Source organism: Homo sapiens, chromosome 1 (genome assembly GCF_000001405.40).
Source record: "Homo sapiens chromosome 1, GRCh38.p14 Primary Assembly".
Lineage (NCBI taxonomy): Eukaryota > Metazoa > Chordata > Mammalia > Primates > Hominidae > Homo > Homo sapiens.
The window spans coordinates 246,619,832-246,639,573 of NC_000001.11; the positions used below are offsets into that span (position 1 = coordinate 246,619,832).

The following is a 19,742-nucleotide window of genomic DNA, read 5'->3' on the forward strand; positions in this document are numbered from 1 at the left end:
GGGAGGACGGCTTCAGTCATGGTGCATACACACGATGGGCTCTGGGCACACTCTACAGGGAGGACGGCTTCAGTCGTGCATACACACGATGGGCTCTGGGAACACTACAGGGAGGACGGCTTCAGTCGTGCATACACACGATGGGCTCTGGGAACACTCTACAGGGAGGACGGCTTCAGTCGTGCATACACACGATGGGCTCTGGGCACACTCTACAGGGAGGACGGCTTCAGTCGTGCATACACACGATGGGCTCTGGGAACACTACAGGGAGGACGGCTTCATCGTGGTGCATACACACGATGGGCTCTGGGAACACTACAGGGAGGACGGCTTCATCGTGGTGCATACACACGATGGGCTCTGGGCACACTACAGGGAGGACGGCTTCATCGTGGTGCATACACACGATGGGCTCTGGGAACACTCTACAGGGAGGACGGCTTCAGTCGTGCATACACACGATGGGCTCTGGGAACACTACAGGGAGGACGGCTTCAGTCGTGCATACACACGATGGGCTCTGGGAACACTCTACAGGGAGGACGGCTTCAGTCGTGCATACACACGATGGGCTCTGGGCACACTCTACAGGGAGGACGGCTTCAGTCGTGCATACACACGATGGGCTCTGGGAACACTACAGGGAGGACGGCTTCATCGTGGTGCATACACACGATGGGCTCTGGGAACACTACAGGGAGGACGGCTTCATCGTGGTGCATACACACGATGGGCTCTGGGCACACTACAGGGAGGACGGCTTCAGTCGTGCATACACACGATGGGCTCTGGGAACACTCTACAGGGAGGACGGCTTCAGTCGTGCATACACACGATGGGCTCTGGGAACACTACAGGGAGGACGGCTTCAGTCGTGGTGCATACACACGATGGGCTCTGGGAACACTACAGGGAGGACAGCTTCAGTCATGCATACACACGATGGGCTCTGGGCACACTCTACAGGGAAGACGGCTTCAGTCGTGCATACACACGACGGGCTCTGGGCACACTCTACAGGGAGGATGGCTTCAGTCATGCGTACACACTATGGGCTCTGGGCACTACAGGGAGGATGGCTTCAGTCGTGCATACACACGGTATTACTGAAGAAGTTCCTTTCTGAGGCAGTCTAGCTAAAGGTATGCACATAGGCAGATAGTCTATTAAATTTGAACATGAATATTAAAACTGACACTGAGATTTCAGTGAAGGGTGAAGTTATAATTTATAACAGTGTTTAAAATTTGGTGTATTTCAGTAGCTGTTAGTTAAGCATTTATTTATTAGTGATTTTTGAGAAGTTTGTGTTACTTCTTTTTATTAGGAAAAACATTTGACTAGCCATTAGCTCTGGCATCTGAATTCCTGCTACTCTCCTAGCATCTAGAAGTATTTCTGATGTTATCAGACAGAGTTTAATCAGAAAGACTCAACTTCTTTAGTGGTTTCATATGATAAACACATTTACCTTCCTGTTCAGGTCTGTTTTAGTTTGGGCAAGCCAGGGCATCAAACTATATGTAATTGTTTTAATGTGTTACACCATCATGGGAATTGATCCTAACATAGGCATTTTCTTTACTTCTTAAAGGACTTTTTTCAGGAGATATTGCACCTTTAATGCAAGAAAAAGTACTAAGCGCAGTCACATATGCTGTTGATGATGAAGAAGCTGCTGAAGTAAATGCTAATGAGCAGCCAGAGGCGCCAAAGCTTGTTCTGCAGTCTCTGTTTTCACTTATACGAGGTGAAGTTGAGCAGTTGGATTCAAGAGCACTTCCCCTTTGCCTTCATCAGGTACTCTGGTAAACCCTTCACTTTCAGCCTCACGAAAATTCCCCTAGCAGTGTTTGGAATGATCTAAAATGCTGTCTTGGCTGGGCGCAGTGGCTCATGCCTGTAATCCCAGCATTTTGGGAGGCTGAGGTGGGTGGATGGCTTGAGCTCAGGAGTTCAAGACCAGCCTGGGCAACATGGCGAAACCCCATCTCTACAAAATATACAAAAATTAGCCGGGCATGGTGGTGCACACCTGTAGTCCCAGCTACTTGGGAGGCCAAGGTGGGACGATCACTCAAGCCTGGGAGGCAAAGGTTGCATTGAGCTGACATTGCACCACTGCACTCCAGCCTGGGAGACAGAGTGAGAGAACCTGTCTCTAAATACATAAATAAATATAAAAATAAAAAATAAAATGCAATCTCTGTAAAATTGACTGTGTCCCACTCATCACTGGTGAGCCCGGGGGAGGGTGACCCTCGTGGGATATTTGGCATATTACTAATTGATGGCCACATCTTGGCCTTGGCTAATCCATAGTTTAAACAATGGTTCACTTTTTAAATCAGTGATAAAGCTGTGTAAGAGTTTGATAAGCATCTACCAGGCACCAAAGACCCTGCTGGACATGGGTAAACAGAGATTACTTGGCAGAATATGCCCGTAAGAGAGCCCCTGCAGAACAGGAGCAACGGTTCTATCGATAAGTAAGTGTGGAATTTTGTGTTCAGTGTTAGAGTAAACATATGTTAAAGATTCAGCAGCACAAAATGAGTGATTCATTCTGCCCTGTGGACACTTGGGAACAGAAGGCGACTCTTGAGCTGGGTTTTCCAGGCTTATTAGGCGCTCAGTGGGTTAACAGAATGAGCTGGTCCAGGAAGAGATCAGCCTGTGAAAGCCGTGGCTGGGATATTATTGGAGATGAAGATGTTAAAAGAGGAGGTGAGATTGAATAGCTGGTGACATTGAGACTTTATTTTTAGGGACTGGGAATTTTTAATTCTAAGAGTGCCTGAATCACATTTGCATTTTAGAAGAAGAACTCTTTTGAGGATTGAGAGGGTGTAGATGTTAGAGGATGGAGAGGCTGGAGACTGGGGAGCCTTTAGGCCGGTGGTGAGGAAACTTTTTTTTTTACATAAGAGCTAATTCAGAAGAAATTAAGATATTTGAGCTGCATCTTATTTTTTATTGTATTGTATTGTATTTATTTATTTATTTAGAGACAGAGTCTCACTCTGTTGCCCAGGCTGGAGTGCAGCGGCATGATCTCAGCTCACTGTAATCTCCACCTCCCAGATTCAAGCCATTCTCCTGCCTTAGCCTCCTGAGTAGCTGGAATTACAGGCACACACCACCACGCCTGGCTAATTTTTGTATTTTAGTAGAGATGGGGTTTCACCATGTTGGCCAGGCTGGTTTCAAACTCCTGACCTCAAGTGATCCACCCGCCTCGGCCTTCCAAAGTGCTAGGATTAACAGGCGCGAGCCGCTGCACCCAGCCTGCATTTTATTTTTACATAAAATGAAATTAACTGGTACATGGGAATGGAGAAAGTGATTTACTTTTGTAATGAGAAGTGAATAATTTTTAATTTTTAACCCATTTAGAAAAAAAAATAGTGCAGCTGGCTGCAAGTGCCCAGCTTTACATAAACATGCTCTTTGAGGCTGAAGCAAATTTGACTAATTGTCAATGTGAAAATAAAATAGAAAAACTGTTCTTGGAGTTATTTCTAAACAGAATTTGTCTCTAATCCTAATGTAACAAAAACGGATATGATGTTACATTAGGATCAGAGACAAGAGTATTCTCAGGGCAAACAGAAAATGGGATAAAAAGTAAAGTAGGCAGGGCACAGTGGCTCATACCTATAATCCCAGCACTTTGGGAGGCCGAGGTGGGTGGATCATGTGAGGTCAGAAGTTCAAGACCAGCCTGGCCAACACAGTGAAACCTCATCTCTTCTAAAAATATACACACACAAAAAAATTAACCAGGCATGGTGGCACGCGCCTGTAGTCCCAGCTACTCGAGAGGCTGAGGCAGAAGAATTGCTTGAACCCAGGAGGCGGAGGTTGCAGTGGGCGGAGATCGCACCACTGCACTCCAGCCTGGGTGACAGAGTGAGACTCTGTCTCAAAAAAAAAGGGAAAATAGGGCCAGGCGCGGTAGCTCATACCTGTAATGCAGCACTCTGGGAGGTCGAGGCAGGCAGATTGCTTGAGCCCAGGAGTTCAAGTCTAGCCTAGGCAACATCATGAAACCTTGTCTCTACAAAAAAAAAAAAAATGTAGCCAGGCACGGTGGCGTGCGCCTGTAATCCCAGCTACTCAGGACGCTAAGGTGGGAGGATTGCATGAGCCCAGGAGTTTGAGGCTGCAATGAGCCGTGATTCCATCACTGCACTCCAGCCTGGGTAACAGAGGAAGACCCCATCTAAAAATAGACAAACAAAAAGTTCAATAGGTTTTGTCCCAATTCAGGAAAATGTATACTTTTACAAATTTGTATTATCTCCTTTACGAACTTGAAGAATGCCTTTGAGGAAATGTATACTCCTGGCCTCTAAGCTGTCACGAACTCACCATTGTTGAGTAGCACCAACATCAAGGCAGCTTTCTAATCACTCAGCTTTCACTGCATTTGAACAGTGGATTGCACGGCAATCTTTTCTCTCCTGGGAAAGAAGGTTAGAGAATACGGTGGTGGTTTAAAAGTATGGGCTTTGGCCCTACCACAAGCTAAGTGGCTTTTGGTTTCTCCTGTTGTAAAGTAATAGAGGATTAAATGGGATAATGCATGTAAAAGCACTTAACATATGTTTGACGTACAGTAAAAGCCAAAGAAATATTAAACATTTAAACTCTATTCCTACTGTCACTAATTCAGAGATTGCTCATTGGAAATCAAGTCTGGGGATCAGCAAAGAAATACTGATGCCATTAGAAAGCTGAGACGTCAGGGTGACAAGATTCGGTTGATGGCTGCCTCCTCAGCCCAAGAAGACAGAATATCCTGTCACCTCCCAAGGGACACACAAATCAGGGAGGGATGGAGATATATTTTATTCATTTTAGTAATTCCCAGCACATCACATGGTATATTTCACCTAGATTTGCCAGTTGTTGACATTTTTATCAAATTTTTGCTCTGTTTTTTAGCTGGGGCTATAGGCATGTGCCACTGCGCCCAGCTAATTTTTGTATTTTTAGTAGAGATGGGGTTTCACCATGTTGCCCGGGCTGGTCTTTAACTCCTGATCTCAGGTGATCCACCCGCCTTGACCTCCCAAAGTGCTGGGATTACAGGCGTGAGCCACCACGCCTGGCCTTTTTGCTCTTGCTCTCTCTCGTGCACACACACGTATTTTTTCCATTGAAACAGTTGAAAGTAATTTGCATTATGACACTTCACCCCTAAATATTTGTACATAAATCTCCCAAGAAGAAGGATACTCTCCTACATAACATACAAGGCCATTATCAACCCCAAGAAATGAGTCACTGATGCAATAAAATTATTTAATATACAATCCATATTCAAATTTCCCCCAAGTAGTTCCACAAATGTTCTGTGCAACTGTTTTCCCCCAGTGCAGGATTCAGTGCAGGATGGCATATTGCATTCAACTGTCAGTATTCTTTAGTCTCCTGTAATCCAGAATGCTCCCAGCCTTTCTATCTGTATCAGTCTTTCTCCGCCCCTTTCTTTCTTTCACACTGACATTTATGAACAGTCTAAGAATTCATGTAGAATGTCCCATAATCAGGATTTGTCTAATTATTTCTTTCTTTTTTTTTTTTTTTTTTTTTTTTTGAGATGGGGTCTTGCTCTGTCACCCAGGCTGGAGTGCAGTGGCGTGATCTTGGCCCACTGTAACCTCCACCTCCCGGGTTCAAGCAATTCTCCTGCCTCAGCCTCCTGAGTAGCTGGGACTACAGGCCCGTGCCACCACGCCCAGCTAATTTTTGTATTTTTAGTAGAGACAAGGTTTCACCATGTTGGCCAGGAGGGTCTCGATCTCTTGACCTCACGATCCGCCCGCCTCGGCCTCCCAAAGTGCTGGGATTACAGGTGTGAGCCACTGCGCCCGGCCTAATTATTTCTTTAAGATTTGATTCAGGTTAAACATTCTGGGCAAGAATTTACTTAGGTAACATTCCATACCCAATTCTCTCTTGAACTGATTCTAATCTGGTTTTTGTTCCCACCACTCCCCCAAAATTGCACTGTAAAAGTCACCAGTGATTTCCATGTTGTTAAATCCGGTGGTCAGACCTCAGTTTTCATCTCACTGGAGCTATTGGAAACGTCAAGTTGATCACATACTCTGTTTTGAAGCGTTTTGTTTATTTGCCTTTGGGAGCTCTTTTCTTGGCTTTTACCTCTTACATCACTTGGCCATGCCTTCTCCGGCTCATTTTCTGAGTTCCCATATTTTCCTTTTTTTTTTTTCCCACTCTGTCACCAGGCTGGAGTGCAGTGGCATCATCACGGCTCACTGCAGCCTCCACCTCACGGGTTCAAGTAGTCTTCCTGCCTCAGCTTCTCAAGTGGCTGGGACTGCAGGCGCATGCCACCGTGCCCAGCTAATTTTTTTATTTTTTTGTAGAGACGGGGTTTCACCATGTTGCCCAGGCTGGTCTCGAATTCCTGGCCTCAAGTGATCTTCCCACCTTGGTGTCCCAAAGTGTTGGGATTTCAGGCATGAGCCACTGCACCCAGCCCTAATTTTTAAACACTGGGATGCGTCAGAGTTCAGTTCTTGAATCTCTTCTCATTCTGAATTCACTTCCTGGTGTTTTCATCCAATCCTGTAGGTTTGTCCTTTTTTTTTTTTTTTTTTTTTTTTGAGACGGAGTCTCACTGTGTCGCCCAGGCTGGAGTGCAGTGGCACAATCTTGGCTCACTACAACCTCCGCTTCCCGAGTTCAGGTGATCTCCTGTCTCAGCTCCACAAGTAGCTGGGATTACAGGCACGTGCCACCACACCTGGCTAATTTTTAAATTTTTAGCAGAGACGGGGTTTCATCATGTTGGCCAGGCTGGTCTCAAACTCCTGACCTCAGGTGGTCCGCCCGCCTCAGCCTCCCAAAGTGCTGGGATTACAGGTGTGAGCCACTGTGCCCGGCCTGTCCTATTTCTTTTCTGAACTCCAGACTTAACTATCCAGCAACTCAAGATGTCTCATGGGCATTTCAAACTTAAGATGTACAAACTCAAACTTTGATTTTCTCCCGTATCTGCTGCTTTCCTAGTCTTACCTCTCTTGTTAAATGCCAACTTCGTCCCTCTAGTTGCTGAGACCAAATGCCTTGAAGTGATACTTTATTTACTTTTCCCTGCATCCAAATCCAATCCAACAGCAAGTCCTGCAGATCTACTTCAAAATATACCCAGAACTTCTTACCTCTTTCACTGCTACCATTTCCGTACAGGATACCATCAAATCTCACCCAGATTCTTGCAATAAATTTCTCACTATAGAGACTTTTCTGCCTTCACTCTCCCTTCCACTTAGTGCTTTCTCTCTACATGACCGTCACTGTGATGCAGATAAAACATAAGTCAGATCTTGTCACTCCACTGTGCAAAGCCCTCCGATGGCTTCCCTTCTCATTTAGAATAAAAGCCAAAATCCTTACCGTGGCCTACAAGGCCCTACATGATCTTGTCCTGTTAGCCTCCTGGATCTTCATTGCTAAAATTCTCCTTAACTCACTCCTTTCCAGGTTCACTGGCCTTCTGACAGCTTCTCAGATATACCAAGGATGTTCCCACTTCAGGTCCTCTGGTATCTCCTATCTACTCCTTCTCAGGAAGCCACTAGGTGATGTGCTCCAGCAAAACAAGGGAGTAAACCAAGAAACAGGAAGGTGTGAGATACAGGAAACTGGGAATCCTACTCAGGACAGAGGTGAAGGGAATCTAAGCAAAGGGAGATTTTAAGATGACAGCTGTATGCCAGGAAGGAGAGGGTAACCAGTCCTGTTTCGAGTGGATCACAAGAGTCTGGGGAGAGGCTTTTCTATCATTTTCCTGTTTGTAGAAGTATTTGACTCCTTAAAGCATAGACATGTAAAATTTGGATGAAAATAAGAACTAAAAGAAGACATAATTCAGGCATAAGGTAATGAAAGCATCTAGGCTAAAGTGGTGACAGTGGAAATGGAGAGGGATGGATGTGAGATCTTTGGAAGGAAGAATAACTAGGACTTGGTATAGATTGTTGTATTAGTCAGGGTTCTCTTAGAGGGACAGAACTCATAGGATATTTATATATATCCTATATATATTTATATATATAAAGGGGAGTTTATTAAGTATTAACTCGCATGATCACAAAGTCCCACAATAGGCTGTCTGCAAGCTGAGGAGCAAGGAGAGCCGAGCTAAGTCCCAAAACTGAAGAATTTGGAGTCTGATGGTCGAGGGCAGGAAACATCCAGCACGCGAGAAAGATGTGGGCTGGGAGGCTAGGCCTGTCTCTCTTTTTCATGTTTTTCTGCCTGCTTTATATTCCCTGGCAGCTGATTAGATGGTGTCCACCAGTTTAAAAGGGGGTCTGCCTTCCCCAGCCCACTGACTCAAATGTTGATCTCTTTTGGCAACACCCTCACAGACACACCCAGGATCAATACTTTGTATCCTTCAATCCAATCACGTTGACACTCAGTATTAACCATCACAATTGTAAAAAGAGAATAAAGGAGAAATCAGAGATGACTGTAGGACCATTAACAGAAATAAGGTATTCGAGTGTGAGAACTAATTTTAGGAAAATTGTGATTTAAAAAGTGATATATAATATATAGAATAATATGTGCTAAAGGCCAATGGAAATACGACAACATATACTTGTATTTTGAGCTCGTGGAACTCTTAAAAGTTCTGTTTTAAAGTTCTTGTTCTTAGGTATGAGTGGTCTTTTTTACACTGACTTAGTTAATATGACTACAGATTAGCTTTAAATGTTTAACTGAAGTCATATGCTTGGCAGGTTTCATATAGAAAATCGGGCCCTCCCTTGGGCCTCTTTTGTAAGGGCACTAATCCCATTCATGAGGGCAGAGCCCCCGTGACCTAATCACCTCCCAGATACCCCCTTCTTCACACTATCCCCTGGGAACTCGGTTTCAACATATGAATTTGTGAGGGGGACACAAAGATTGAGGCCATGGCCCTTCACAGTGTCTTTTTTTAGAGCGTTCCTGATTGGTAAAAGGATAACCAGGATCACCTTACACCTGTTGCCTTCCCAGCAGTTTTCACCTTTTTCACATGATTCCACTCAGCATCTTGCAATTCATTCCAAATCAGACTCAAAAACCATTTTAAGCACTTACTGTAGTGTGCTGGGCATTATGCTAGATACATAGTCTCTCTGTTTTTTTTATTTGTATTTATTTATTTATTTTCATTTGCTTCCTGTACCTGGGCAGCAAACACAATCTCTCTTTCAATCCTTATGGCAGCCTTGTTTTATACAGCTGCAGGTATTACTGTCCCTGTTTTAAGATAAGAAAGTTGAGGCTTGAGATGCGAAATGACGTGTCCAGGGCCACACAGCTGGTAAGTGGCAGGGCTTGGACTAAAACACAGGCCATTCACCTCCAACCCCATGTTCTTTCTGCTCTACTGGGCTAGCTTTCAGATTTAGAAATATGCTTTAAAAAAAAGTCACATCTTCTCTTCCTGCTAGACTTGCAAGGGGGAGATTTTTAAAGGGGAAATACTTTGTATATTTATTTCTCAAGATGACTTTTTACCTGGAAATTTTACTTTTGAGGCACTGGGTTTCATAACCTTCTCTGCATAGTTACTTTATGGTATTAGAACTGCTACAGAAGCCTGCAAGCTAATTTCTGCAGTGCCAGGAAATCTGGTGACATAATAGTTATGGACCCCATCAAAACTCCTCAAATAAGAGCTATTTATAAGTAACCATGTGCCAATTTTGCACAAATGCAAAAAGGCAGGAAAAATGGCTTTGAAGAGCCAGACATTTTATTTTAATGGGCAACCTGAAACTATATCTCATACCATATATAGAAAGGAAACTGTGCAATACCATAGATGTTTTCACTGGAAGTTTGTACTTGAAATTTTTTTTTCTTTGTTTTTTTGAGACAGAGTTTCACACTGTCACCCAGGCTGGAATGCAGTGGCGCAATTTCGGCTCACTGCAACCTCTACCTCCCAGGTTCAAGTGATTCTTCTGCCTCAGCCTCCCAAGTAGCTGGGAATACAGGTGCACACCACCACACCCAGCTAATTTTTGTGTTTTTAGTAGAGACAGTATTTCGCCATGTTGGCCAAGCTGGTGTCGAACTCCTGAACTCAAATTATCTGCCTGCTTCGGTCTCTCAAAGTGCTGGGATTATAAGCATGAGCTGCCATGCCCGGCTCTGCAGTTGAAATGTCATCATTGATTTCAATTAGGTGTAACCCCCTCATATGCTGGAACCTGCTAGTACTGACATATGAGAACCATGTTTACTGACGTCCATCACATTGGTAGCTTGACATCGGCCATGGTGGGAGTATTGACACCACTGAAATGAGCAAACACTGCAAGTTGGGGCTCTCCCCAACACTCTGGAGACGACTGTTAAATATTAGCACACTGCTGGTTACACCATTATATGAAATTCTCATTTTGTAAGCTAAAGAAATGGTTGAAGATTGGCAGTTTGACTTGGTTCATACTACTTTTAAAACATATTATTAGAACAATAAGCTGGTAAAAGATAACCAGATTCTTAAAAATCAGTTTGTCCCTTGCAAAATCTTTAATATAACATAAATATGGAATCAAACTTTATATTAACTGAAAACTAATCATTTATAGAGATGACTGAGTCAGTCATCTACATGGCTCATGGAAAAAATGTCACATTTGTAGGATTTAAACTAGGCAAGTATTTTCCTTTAAAAGTATGCTGTTTCCCCTGAGGGATTTGGGAAAATCCATTCCTTTTTATTGCTAGCTTATAGGTTTGACAAGTACTTTAATTACTCTTTGCATCGTCAATTTACCTGGAAAACGGAGATAGTGATGTATAAAGGTTATACCTTTTTTTACTAGAGACAATCTGTGGAAACCATTTTTTGTTTTGGTTTGTTTTGGTTTTTTTTTGAGACAGAGTTTTGCTCTTGTTGCCCAGGCTGGAGTGCAATGGCATGATCTCGGCTCACTGCAACCTCCACCTCCCAGGTTCAAGCGATTCTTCTGCCTCAGCCTCCAGAGTAACTGGGATTACAGGCATGAGACACCATGCCTGGCTAATTTTTGTATTTTTAGTAGAGATGGGGTTTCACCGTGTTGGTCAGGCTGGTCTTGAACCCTTGACCTCAGATGATCCACCCACCTCAGCCTCCCAAAGCGCTGGGATTACAGGCGTGAGCCACCATGCCCGGCTGGAAACTGTTTTAAGAATACAGAGTTTATGCAATATTTCAGTGAATATTTTTAGTTTTAGTGATCTGTTCATAAATGTCATATCTAAATAAAGATCTAAAAATATCCCAAAGTTTTTAGAATCAAAGAATCTTTAAATGTAAAGATGTCTTAGAATGAATCTGATAACTGACAAGCCTGAACTGAGACCAGCTCCTGAGTCTTGGATCTCTTTATCTAGTGTTCTTTACCATATGTAGCACTTTGTACATATTCTAAACAATATTAATCAACTGTTAGTGCTCAGCCTGGCCTTTTCTTAACTATCAGACCAGACCAAAAAGTCAGTGTCCTGTGAGGTCCTCAGCCGGTGGTTTGTGAAACAGGAATGAAATCAATAGGATGTTGAGGTCTCAGGTGACTTGACATATTTCTGCTTTTTCTTTTTATTAATTATTTATTTATGTTTGCTTCACAGCATTTGAAAGGAATATTTCTACTTTTAATTTACAATAAACAATCATTTTTTCATTTGTGTTCTATTTTTGTAAGTCTCTAACATTTTTCTCATTCTTTAGAGTCCTAAACTCTAATGAATCAGGGAAATCTACTTTGACTTGAGGTAGAGTAGGAAGAATGATGTGTAAACACCAAAGAACGTCTCTGCTTTGCTTGAGATGAGTAACTTCAGAATTGCATCCTGTGCCTACAGTCAGATTTCTTCTGAACTGTTGAATGTAGTTTAAAAAAAGAGTTTTCTTAATTTGATATCAAAAACATTTGGAATTTCAAGATCTTAATTTGTTTCAAATTTATCTTCTCATCCAAGTGTTAATTTAATTTTCTCTGTGTTTTCTTTGTTTTTAACAGATAGCAGAATCCTATTTCCAGGAGGAGGACTGTATCCTTTTCTTAATTACAGGAAGAAATTTTTAGAACTCTTACAGAACCATTCATTTTTTTTAATTGAAGTATATTTTACATGTAATAGAATGTACAGATCATATGGTTTCAGTGGTTTTGACAGTTGTATGTACCCGTGTAACCACCTCAGAAAGCAAAATGTAGGAAATTTCTGTCTCTTCACAAAATTTCCTAGAACCATCCAAAGTTTACCTTCATAAATAGGCCTTAATTTTACTAAAATAAGTATTTGTATTTATTTTTTGAAGGAAAATTTGTATTATTTTAATTATTTTTATGTACAGAACACTCAACAGTGTACATTTAACCCAGTTTAGCGGCATGTTCTTTAGCCTTTGCCTTTTTGAGCTTGGCAACGTGCGCCACAGACTTGGGACCCGGGACATTGCCGCCCCCGTGATGGTGAATCTCGTCGTATCTGTCGTTGTAATTGGTCCTGGACTAGACAGCCCAGTCTTGCCTTCCCCTTGGATAATGCAGTAAGGGACCCCCATTTTACGACATAGGGCAGGCAAGAAGACAGCCAGCTGGAAGAAGGCATTAGTGGAAGAGTGTATTTTGACCAAAAGCAGTAAATCTCAAAGCTAGCTTGGTAGCAAGCGAGAGAGAGAGAACTTCTGAGTGATCATGAAGACAAAAAGCTGAACAGTGAGTTTTTCTCTTCCTTTTTTCTGGGTCAGCATTTAGAGCATTGCCCAGAGGAAGGTAGGCAGTTGGACAGTGTATCCTGACCTCACAAGATGCAGATCTGTGTGATACAAATGAGAAGGCTAAAGCTCACAGGATCATTTACAAAGAAGTAGAATCACGTGATAATAATGGAAATCACTGTGGCAAGTTAATTGAGTGTTTACAAAAGACCCATATAAGTTTTTGCCCTGTCATTGTTTAGGCATGTGATCCTTTGGTCTTGTGGGAGAAAAGCATTCAGTGGGAAATAATAAGGATCAAGGTGACTTGAAACAGAAACACTTGACCAGAGAGTCACATAGTTCTTTGACAGAAAGTAAGGAGAGAAATAAAAAAGGGAAACATGTAGATTCCAGGATTCCATGTGGTCCTGTTTCCTTAAATTACTTTTAGTTGACTCCGCAGCAGACATTCCTTGAGCATTAAAACCTTCTTTTAGTTTCTGTTTGCCGATAGTGTGGAATCCAAGTAGCTATTGCATAATATGCCACATTAAAATTTACCTACTTCAAAACCAAGAAACATTACTAGGCTGGGCGCAGTGGCTCACACCTGTAATCCCAGCAATTTGGGAGGCTGAGGCAGGCAGATCGCTTGAGGTCAGGAGTTCAAAACCAGCCTGGCCAACGTGGTGAAACCCCATCTTGACAAAAATACAAAAAGGAGCCGGGCATGATGGTGCATGCCTGTAATCCCAGCTACTCTGGAGGCTGAGGCAGGAGAATCACTTGAATCCAGGAGGGGGAGGTTGCAATAAGCCAAGGTGGCACCACTGCACTCCAGCCTCGGTGACAGAGGGAGACTGTGTCTCAAAAAAAAAAAAAGCTGGACGCAGTGATTCATGCCTGTAATCCCAGCACTTTGGGAGGCCGAGGCAGGCAGATCACGAGGTGAGGAGTTCGAGACGAGCCTGGCTCACATGGTGAAACCCCGTCTCTACTAAAAATACAAAAAAATCAGCCAGGCGCAGTGGTAGGCGCCTGTAGTCTCAGCTACCTGGGAGGCTGAGGCAGGAGAATCGCTTGAACCCGGGAGGTGGAGGTTGTAGTGAGCTGAGATTGCCCCACTGCACTCCAGCCTGGACTACAGAGCAAGATTCCATCTCAAGGAAAAAAAAAAAAAAAGAGAGAAACATTACTTTAGATATGTTTAAATTTAAAAATATTTAGAGTCCTCTCATGTTTTAGTAAGCTGCAAATTTCTCAACATCTATAGGACATTGTTCTTCAAATATGGGAATAATGTAAATAGTGTGGATTTCTATTTTCCTTAAATGTTCTATTCAGATGAGAAAGCAATGAAATTCATTCAGCTAGAACGATTGTATCATGAGCAATTGCTCGCAAATCTTTCTGCCATTCAAGAACAGTGGGGTAAGTACAGACCAACATGGAATGTGGAATTAGCAGTAATCCAACAAGTCACTATCTACAAAATTAACATATTTGACCTGGTTTTATAAATCAGAAAATAGATGTTTCCATAAACAAGTTAATGTTGCAAAGAAAGTAGCATTTTTACCACAAGTCTATTATATTGTGAGAAGACTTTTTTCTTTGTATTTTGCTCTTCATATCAATGCCAAGAAAAGAATACTTGCAACTATTTGCATTTTTCCTAATCACATTTCATGCCCTACTGGCTAATTTAGTCTCTAGGATGATATTTACTTATATTGAAAAGTAATAAGTTAGTTATTTCTAACTGTTGGGTTGTTTGAAAAGATAATTTTGCATGCAAATCTTTATGAGTGGTGCTAGTTAACTGTTTGTTTGTTTTTTTGCTCCTAAATATGTTTTATAAGAGCCAGTGACTAACAAATACTTTAAATTTAGAAACAAAATGGAAAACTGTGCAACCACATACAGTTACGGCTCTAAGGAATTCAGAAAAGGGATTTAATGGTGAAGATTTTGAACGGCTTACGAAAATTTGTGCAACACATCAAGAGTAAGTATATCAGAATTTCGTTAGAATGAGTTGGAGTAGAATATTGAAGAAGCATTATAGCATTGAGTATCCATTTCTTTGTTTTATGTTTTCAACTGGAGAAATTAAGATGGATATAATATAATTATTGCAAGGCTCTAGTATTGGTTCGAACCCCGGGAGCGCGCCAACAGACAGCACAAGGCGGTGTGGAGCATCACGCTGTTTTAATGAGCACCTGGGTGCAGACGGGCTGAGGCCTAAAATGGCGTCAGCGCCACGTGAGGACGGGGCAGGGGTTTTACAGTCTCCTGTAAACAGGAAGTGTCCCTGTCTGATGTAACGGCTACGTGGTACCTGGATGGCCTCTCTGTCTATCCTCGGTGGTGCGTGTCTTCCGGCCGGGGTGCGTGTCTTCCGGCCGGCCCTCTTCCTGCTTCTGCTTCTCGCTGACGCGCGCTGCTGGTGCAAGTGGCCTCGCGCCTTGGGACTGGGTCTGAGGAGGGAGGAGTTATTCATCCCCCCAAGCTTTCGGCCCTGGGGAGAATCTTTCATTCCTATTTGGTTATAGAAAAAGGGAAAAGGGGCAACTTTCTCCATAACTACTTCAGGTGTGACATAGAGGGTGGCGTGGGCACCTCGGAAAAAAAGAAAAAATTTTGGCGTATTCTTGAGAGTCGGGTTGGTATCCATCGTGTCGTTGTAGCAGGAGCATCGTCTGGATTGTCTGGCGATTAACTGTAGTTTCAACAAGAGTTTTAATGGCTTTTATTATCAGTGGGATACCACAGGGGAGAAACAGGAGGACCCCAATGATGAAGATTACTGTCCCTACCAGCGTTTTAAATCCCCCTAAATTAGAGAACCACCCTCCTAGAAGGTTTGTTGGGTCCCATCCCTTCCAGGTTTGGACTGGTACACGGGCTACTTTTCTGATGTTTGAAGCGATTTCTAGAACCGCTTTTCCATTATCGTCTATGTTAAGACAGCAATTGGAGATGTTAAACTTACCACAGACCGCACCCTCTTCTGCTAATAAGTAGTCTAGAGCCAGCCTGTTTTGATAAATTGCTGGGTGCATTTGGTTTTGTTGTCACGCGAGCATTTCCAGCGCTGGGGCGGTTTGGTTAGTGATTATCTCTAGAGCAGCCTTTAGTCTAATTATTCTATTTAGCATATATGTGGGAGTGCGATAACCCCGTGAACCATCCTCAGCCCAGGTGGCAGGACCGTAATATTCGATGATCCATTGCGGAGGCCACTCGTCCTCTCACGGTCTTTGGCTTCCTCCTGCCTTTAAGGACCGTTTTTCTCTGGTTATCATACGCAGGGACTCCGAGGGTGTTGCCCGCCTGCTTTGGAAGTAAAACGAATCCAGGTTGAATTGTGCATAGGAAGCTAGTGCTAAGGTAGCCGTGAGTAAGCCTGGGTTCCCCATATCCAAAGGAATCCATCGGGGCAGTCCATCGTCAGCTGGTGTTCCTAGGATTGTCGCATAGTGCACTTAGGCAGGGGTATGCGGCAGAAGAGTTAGTGGTGTTTGTACAGTTCCAGGCCTTTTTTGACAAGACACAATTGAGGTAGCTGAAGTTAGAGGGAGACCAGGCTCCAGGGGGTAACCTTGGCCACCACTCGGCTGTGGAGGCGTTGACTGTTAGGGTTTGGTGACAGGGGCTTTCACCTGCGGCACGATGGGTTTTATCAGTCCACTTGCGGGATATGCACGCCGTCCCTCTTACTGGGTTGGTAAGTGTCCAGGTCGACGGGCGTTCCTGAGAATTCAAAGTGAGGCTGGGGTTTTGAAATGCTAGTAATTAAGGGGGAAGGTCTATCCCATGCCACGGCCACTGTTCACTCCTGCGGGCTCCCCCGCATACCCAGCAATTGGACACATTCGTGGTAAGCGCGATGCCCTCTCCTAGATCTACAAACCGGTTTTTTCCTGGCTAGGGAGGGGATACGTCTGCTTATGGTTTTTGTGTAAAGGGATGGAAATACCACGGGTGATTTTCAGGGGTAGTTGTTGGTTTTGAGACTTTTGCTTTGGCTATAATCCATTCTCTCTTTCTGTCTTCGAGCACTTGAGCGTTTGCTCCCCATTGTCCAATTTTGGTGAAGCAAAGCCACTGTTTCCCTTTTGGACATGTAGCCCCATTATGACTGCCAGATACTCCTAGATTTTTTACTTTATAATAACTCTTTCCTGATTCAACACATTCCTCGACTAAGGTTCCACAATAGGATCTTTCTATATGACTATGGTGAGTGAAGGACTGTTGACATGAGTATGGTGAGTGAAGGATTGTTGCATCTTTCCTCTGTGGTGGAAAGACTGATAACACTCACAGCAGCTCTGAAGGGCTGCTGTGGGCAGCAGGGCGGCTACTGACCGTATAAGGATCGTGGTGAGGGATATTCCCGTATTAAGACTTTTGGTTGGAAGTGAGGCACAGCATCGGATTGGGTAGATACAGGCCATCTCTGGAAGCAGGTGTTTAGTCTTCCTCGTGTTTTGGTTTTAAGAAAAAGAAAATTTTTTGGTTAATTTCAGCTTGGTAGAAGAAACTGGCCTGGACAACCACTTATCTGTTAATGTTTTGGAGGAAGAAGTAGCCTTTGGGGTGAGCTTGACCCTGGTACGATGGACCCAGTTGGGGAGTCCTTGGACTCTCATGCTGTTAGTGTGCATGCTGAGTATCACAGCGTAGGGGCCTGTCCACTTTGGTTGTAGCTTTTTGTGAGGATCAGGTTGGCCAATAAACACGTCTGTGCCTGCAAGACAGTTATGTTGAGAGGACAAGGAGGTGTCGGCAGGGAGAGGCATGGCCTCATTCGCTGCTTCACAAATGAAAGACCATGTCTGGATTAAGGAGGGTAAGTAATTCCCGAGTGGCTCAGAGTCTGGTGATGGCGGAGGCCCTAAGACAAAAGTTCGTCCATACATGATTCCAAAGGGACTATAAAAAGAGGGTGCTTTTGGTGTTGCACGGAGTCTCATGAGGGTGTAAGGGAGATTTCTCATCCACGACTGGTGGGTTTCTAGAGCCAGCTTGGTGAGTTGAGCTTTAAGGACAGAGTTGATGTTTTCAAGTTTGCCTGAAGATTGAGGCCTGTAAGGTGCATGGAGAACCCATTTCATTCCTAAGGACGTGGAGACAACTTGGGTGATTTGGCTGGTGAAGGTGGGCCTGTTATTGGATTGCATGGATGTCCCAATGGAGTGTGAAACGGGGAATTGTATACATGATGAGAGTTTGTATGACAACATTTGCACCTTCTGAAGTTGTTGGGAACGCTTCTACCCACCCAGAGAAAGTACAGACAAAGACTAGAAGGTAATGGAGCCATTTATCAGGTGAGTGAAGTCTACCTGCCAATCTTGCCCAGGTACCTGGCCCTGGGCTTGGTGGTTAGAAAAAGGCGGTGGCCAGAGGGAGCCCTGGGGTGACACTGAGTGGCAGATACAGCAGGACTGGATGATCTCTGGAACGCGGCTGGAAAGGTGAGGACAAGTGAGAATAGGGTGGAGAAGTTGCAAGAGAGGTTTGTAGCCGACATGGAAAGAGTTGTGGAGGCTTTGGAGGATAGGCATTGTTTGAGCATGAGGAAGAATGAGAAGCGCCCTTCCTTGATGTACCATGGTCCTTGCTTTTGGAGGTTCTGGACCTGGAAGTCCTCCTTTTCTTCTGAGGAGTAAAGAGGAAAGAATAAGGACAGGGACAGAAACTGGCCTTGCACGGTTGTAGGGCTACTTGTTTGGCCGCCTGATCTGCTAGTGCGTTTCCAGCCCGTATAGGATTGTCTGGGGTTTGGTGGCCCCTGCAATGAATGACGGCAGCTTTCTGCAGGAGCTGGGCAGCCTGAAGGAGCTTGCTGATGAGAGAGCCGTTTATGACAGGAGTGTTGTTTGCAATTAGGAAACCCCGTTCTTTCCAGATGGACAAGTGTGAGTGCACTATGTGGAACACATAACGAGAATCTGAATATATGTTCATTTGTTGTCCAGCTGCTAGAGTGAGAGCTCGAGTGAGGGTGATGAGTTCAGCCTTTTGGGAGGTGGTTCCTAGGGGGAGCAGATTGGCTTCAATAGTGTGGGCGGGTGACACTATAGCATAGCCAGCATGTCGGCATCCTTGATGTAGGAAGGAACTGCCATCTACAAACCAAGTAAATGAGGCATCTGGAAGGGGTTGATCTGTTAGGTTTGGAAAAAGTATAAGAAAGGTTTGAATGGTGTCCACACAGAAGTGTGCAGGGTCTTGGGAGGTAGTGGCTTCAGGTAAGAGCATGGCCAGGTTTAAATGGGAGCTGGTTAGCACGGTGATTTGGGGAGTTTCTATGAATAGAGCATACAGTTGAAGGAGCCGTGGGGCAGACATGAGACTTAGTACACTGCAGTGAGCTAGCATGTCTTTGATGTTATGGGTTGAATAAACTGTTAGGTTGGCACGAAGGGATAGTTTTAGGCTTCCAAGGGTGAGGACAGCAGCTGCCACCAGTGCTTGGAGACAGGCAAGCCATCCGAGAACTGTGGTTGTGAGCTGTTTAGAGAGGTAGGCAACAATCTGGAGGGCGGGTCCCTTAGACTGGTTAGAACATGTAGTGCAACTCCACGCCGTTCGTCGGGATAGAGAGAAAGGTTTGGTGAGGTCTGGGAGAGTGAGAACGGGGGCTGAGATGAGAGCCTTCTGGACCAGACGGAAAGGGTGGGTAATCGGCTGTGCAGGGTTTAAAGGCTTATGGAGAGGGCCTTTAGTAGCTTAGTATAACGGTTTGGCAAGTAGAGCAAAGGAAGGAACCCAGAGCCTAAAATATCCCACTAGTCCTAGAAAAGAGAGAATTTCTTGCTTAGTTTGCGGAGGTGGGAGGAACTGGAGGAGCAGTGTGCGGTCGGTTGTGAGCCCTCGGGTTTGCAGGGTAAGAGCTAGGCCTAGGTAGGTGACTGAGGGGGTGCTTACTTGTGCTTTCTTAGGGGAGACCCGATACCCCCACTCTGCCAAGAAATTT

At 44.2% G+C, this 19,742-nt stretch overlaps 1 protein-coding gene and 3 pseudogenes across 11 annotated transcripts in view, besides 1 other annotated feature; 1 reads left to right on the plus strand and 3 right to left on the minus strand.

Moving 5' to 3' along the window:
• The window catches only part of CNST (consortin, connexin sorting protein), a 102,140-nt gene that overhangs the window by 53,376 nt on the left and 29,022 nt on the right, over positions 1-19,742 (plus strand). For 9 of the 11 annotated variants that reach the window (XM_011544111.2, NM_152609.3, XM_011544112.2 and 6 more), the window contains 4 exons: positions 1,598-1,803; positions 12,063-12,093; positions 14,093-14,179; positions 14,642-14,756. In XM_011544111.2, coding sequence (XP_011542413.1) covers positions 1,598-1,803; positions 12,063-12,093; positions 14,093-14,179; positions 14,642-14,756 — 439 coding nt within the window. Of the gene's footprint in view, positions 1-1,596; positions 1,804-12,062; positions 12,094-14,092; positions 14,180-14,641; positions 14,757-19,742 lie in introns of those variants that run through there. The other 2 variants (XM_011544114.3, XM_047447910.1) reach the window with 2 other exon arrangements.
• On the minus strand, positions 12,420-12,647 carry RPL7AP82 (ribosomal protein L7a pseudogene 82; annotated as a pseudogene).
• Positions 14,252-15,451: an enhancer, noted in NCBI's record as "MED14-independent group 3 enhancer chr1:246797385-246798584 (GRCh37/hg19 assembly coordinates)". NCBI's record gives its function as "activates an origin of replication core promoter dependent on BRD2, BRD4, P300/CBP and CDK7 cofactors, and independent of MED14, by STARR-seq in HCT116 cells {active_cell/tissue: HCT116}" and the evidence as "EXISTENCE:reporter gene assay evidence [ECO:0000049][PMID:35650434]".
• On the minus strand, positions 15,631-16,672 carry LOC100887078 (endogenous retrovirus group 48 member 1, envelope pseudogene; annotated as a pseudogene).
• LOC107985100 (suppressyn-like) lies at positions 16,703-17,214 on the minus strand (annotated as a pseudogene).